At 49.0% G+C, this 4,322-nt stretch overlaps 1 long non-coding RNA gene across 1 annotated transcript in view; it reads right to left on the bottom strand.

Annotated features, from left to right (window-relative positions):
• LOC124904643 (uncharacterized) overlaps positions 1–4,322 on the bottom strand; it is a 29,522-nt gene that overhangs the window by 8,750 nt on the left and 16,450 nt on the right. The gene's annotated exons all lie outside the window — the stretch shown is intronic.

Genomic DNA, 4,322 nt, shown 5'->3' with positions numbered 1-4,322 from the left:
CATCACTAGTGGAACTGCTTTATTTCCTTAATTTTCTTTTTTTTTTCTTTTTTTTTTTTTTTTTGAGACAGTCTTACTCTGTTGCCCAGGCTGGAGTGCAGTGGCGTGATCTTGGCTTACTGCAACCTCTGCCTCCCAGGATTACAGGCATGAGCTACTGCACCTGGCTCTCCCCTACCCCACACCTTTTTTTTCTTCTTATAAAAATCCAAGACCCGGCCAGGCATGGTGGCTCACACCTGTATTCCTGGCACTTTAGGAGACCAACGCAGGTGGATCAGTAGAGGTCGGGAGTTCAAGACCAGCCTGGCCAACATGGCAAAACCCTGTCTATACCAAAAATACAAAAATTAGCTGGGTGTGGTGGCACACACCTGTAATCCCAGCTGCTGGGGAAGCTGAGGCAGAAGAATCGCTTGAACCAGGGAGGCAGAGGCTGCAGTGAGTCGAGGTTGCGCTACTGCACTCCAGCCTGGGCAACAGAGCAAGAATTTGTCTCAAAAAAATAAAATATCAGGCCAGGTGTGGTGGCTCATGCCTGTAATCCCAGGACTTTGGGAGGCCAAGGCGGGCAGATCACAAGGTCAGGAGATCGAGAGCATCTTGGCCAACGTGGTGAAACCCCATCTCTACTAAAAATACACAATTAGCCAGGCGTGGTGGCAGGTGCCTGTAGTCCCAGCTACTCTGGAGGCTGAGGCAGGAAAATCACTTGAACTCTGGAGGCAGAGGTTGCAGTGAGCTGATACTGCATCACTGCACTCCAGCCTGAGCGACGAGCAAAATTTCGTTTCAAAATATGTATATGTCAATCCAAGACCTGTCATTAAATTGGTCTGAATGTCAGTGAGGCTCTTCCACCTTCCACCTCTTGGTGAAACTACATAATTCTGTTGTTGTTGTTGTTGGTTTTACAGGCAGGATCTCACTGTTGCCCAGGCTGGAGTGCGGTGGCACCACAGCAGCTCACTGCGGCCTCCAAATCCTGGTTTCAAGTGATCCTCCCACTTCAGCCTCTTGATTAGCTGGGACTACAGGAGTGCACCACTATGCCCAGCTAATTTTTAAAAGCCTTGTAGCCAGGCATGGTGGCTCATGCCTGTAGTCCCAGCACTTTGGGAGGCCAAGGCAGGTGGATGGTCTGAGGTCAGGAGTTCAAGACCAGCCTGGCCAGCATGGTGAAACCCCGTCTCTACTAAAAATATAAAAATTAGCTAGGCATGGTGGCAGATGCCTGTAATCCCAGCTACTCGGGAAGCTGAGGCAGGAGAATCGCTTGAACCTGGGAGGTGGAGGTTGAAGTGAGCTGAGATCACGCCACTGCACTCCAGCCTGAGCCAACAGAGCGAGATTCCATCTGGAAAAAAAAGTCTTGTAAGCCGGGCGTTGTGGCTCATGCCTGTAATCCCAGCACTTTGGGAGGCTGAGGCGGGTGGATCACCTGATGTCAGGAGTTAGAGACCAGCCTAGCCAACATGGTGAAACCCCGTCTCTACTAAAAATACAAAAAATTAGCCAGGTGTGGTGGCAGGTGCCTGTAATCCCAGCTACTCAGAAGGCTGAGGCAGGAGAATTTCTTGAACCCAGGAGGCGGAGGTTGCAGTGAGCCGAGGTCATGCCATTGCACTCCATCCTGGGCAACAAGAGTGAGACTCCATCTCAAAAAAAAAAAATTACTTCTATGTTTTATTCCAATAATTTAATAATGTTAGCTCATATTTAGGTCTGTAGTTCATTTTAATTTTTGTTTGTTTTGTTTTGTTTTGTTTTGAGACGGAGTCTGGCTCTGTCGCCCAGGCTGGAGTGCAGTGGCGCGATCTCAGCTCACTGCAAGCTCAGCCTCCCGGGTTCACACCATTCTCCTGCCTCAGCCTCCCGAGTAGCTGGGACTACTGGCGCCCGCCACCACGCCCAGCTAATTTTTTTGTATTTTTTAGTAGAGACGGAGTTTCGCCTTGTTAGCCAGGATGGTCTTGATCTCCTGACCTCGTGATCCGCCTGCCTCGGCCTCCCCAAAGTGCTGGGATTACAAGCGTGAGCCACCGCGCCCGGCCAATTTTTTTTTTTTTTTTTTTTTTTTGAGATGGAATCTCATTCTCTTGTCCAGGCTGGAGTGCAGTGGCGCAGTCTCAGCTCACTGCAGCCTCTGCCTCCTCAGTTCAAGTGATTCTCACGCCTTAGCCTCCCGAGTAGCTGGGATTACAAAATTGTGCCACCACGCCTGGCTACTTTTTGTATTTTTAGTAGAGACAGGGTTTCATCATGTTGGCCAAGTTGGTCTCGAACTCCTGATGTCAAGTGATCCTCCTGCCTCGGCCTTCCAAAGTGCTGGGATTATAGGCGTGAGCCACTGCCTCTGGCCAAGTTAATTTTTATATACGTGTAAGGTAAGGGTCCAACTTCACTCCATGTGGCTTATCGCGTTGTCTCAACAGTATTTGTTGAAGAGACTGTTCTTTCCCCCAATGAATGGTCTTGATACCCTTGTCAAAAGTTAGTTGACCATATAACTACATGGTTTACTTCTGGACTGTCAGCTCTATTCTATTCTACGTATCTATCCTTATGTCACTGTGCTTTGAAGTAAGATTTAAAGTCAGGCAGCGGTTCATGCCCATAATCCCAACACTTTGGGAGGCTGAGGCAGGCAGATCAGGTAAGGCCAGGAGTTAGAGACCAGCCTGGCCAACATGGTGAAACTTCATCTCTACTAAAAATATAAAAATCACCTGGACAGGCCAGGAGCGGTAGCTCACGCCTGTAATCCCATTTACTTTGGGAGGGCGAGATGGGTGGATCACCTGAGGTCAGGAGTTCGAGACCAGCCTGGCCAACATGGTGAAACCCTGTCTCTACTAAAAATACAAAAAATTAGCTGGGCATGTGGTGCGCACCTGTAATCGCAGCTACTCTAGAGGCTGAAGCAGGAGAATCGCTTGGACCCAGGAGGGAGGCAGAGGTTGCAGTGAGCCGAGATCATGCCATTGCACTCCAGCCTGGGCAACAAGAGTGAAACTCTGTCTCAACAACAACAACAAAAAAAATTAGCTGGACATGGTGACATGCACCTGTAATCCCAGCTACTTGGGAGGCTGAGGTGGGAGGATCGTTTGAGCCTAGGAGGTGGAGGGTGCAGTGAGCTGATACCGTGCCACCTGTAATCCACCCAGCCTGGGCAACAAAGTGACGACACTCTGCCTCAAAAATTAAATTAAAATAATAAATAACTCAAAGTCGGCCAGGCACAGTGGCTCATGCCAGTAATCCCAGCACTTTGCGAGGCCGAGGCAGGTGGATCACCTGAGCTCAGGAGTTGGGGACCAGCATGGGCAACATGGTGAAACCTCTTCTCTACCAAAAATACAAAAAATTAGCTGGGCATGGTGGTGGGCACCTGAAGTTCCAGTTAGTGGAGACACTGAGGTGAGAGTATCACCTGAGCCTGGGAGGTAGAGGTTGCAGTGAACTGAGATCATGCCACTGCACTCTAGCCTGAGTGACAGAGACTGTGTTCAAGAAAAATAAATAGGCTGGGCATGGTGGCTCACGCCTGTAATCCCAGCACTTTGGGAGGCCAAGGCGGGTGGATCATGAGATCAGGAGTTCAAGACCTGCCTGGCCAAGATGGTGACACCCCGTCTCTACTAAAAATACAAAAAAATTAGCTGGGCATGGTGGTAGGCACCTGTAATCCCAGTTATTTGGGAGGCTGAGGCAGAGAATTGCTTGAACTGGGAGGCAGAGGTTCCAGTGAGCTGAGATCGTGCCACTGCACTTTAGCCTGGGTGACAGAGCCAGACTCCATCTCAAATAAATAAATAAATAAAATAGATGAATAAATACAAGCTCAGGTGCAGTGGCTCACGCCTGTAATCCCAACACTTTGAGAGGTCAAGGCAGGTGGATCCCCTGAGGTCAGGAGTTTGAGATCAGCCTGGCCAACACCCAACATGGCGAAACCCTATCTCTACTAAAAATATAAAAATTAGCCAGGTGTGGTGGCGCATGCATATAATCCCGGCTACTTGGGAGGCTGAGGCAGAACAATCACTTGAACCTGGGAGGCGGAGGTTGTACTGAGCTGAGCTTGCACCACTGCACTCCAGCCTGGGCGACAGAGTGAGACTCCATCTCAATAACAATAAAAACATGAATAAATAAAATAAATAAGGAACTGTGACTCCTCCGACTTTGTTCCTCTTTTTCAAGATTGTTTTGGTTATTCTGTGTCCCTGTTTTTTGTTTTTTGTTTTTTTTGAGACGGAGTCTCTCTCTGTTGCCCAAGCTGGAGTGCAGTGACGTGATCTCGGCTCACTGCAAGC

Source organism: Homo sapiens, chromosome 19 (assembly GCF_000001405.40).
Source record: "Homo sapiens chromosome 19, GRCh38.p14 Primary Assembly".
Taxonomy (NCBI): domain Eukaryota; kingdom Metazoa; phylum Chordata; class Mammalia; order Primates; family Hominidae; genus Homo; species Homo sapiens.
The sequence above is the reverse complement of the archived record's forward strand: the minus strand, read 5'-3'. Positions and strand labels throughout refer to the sequence as shown.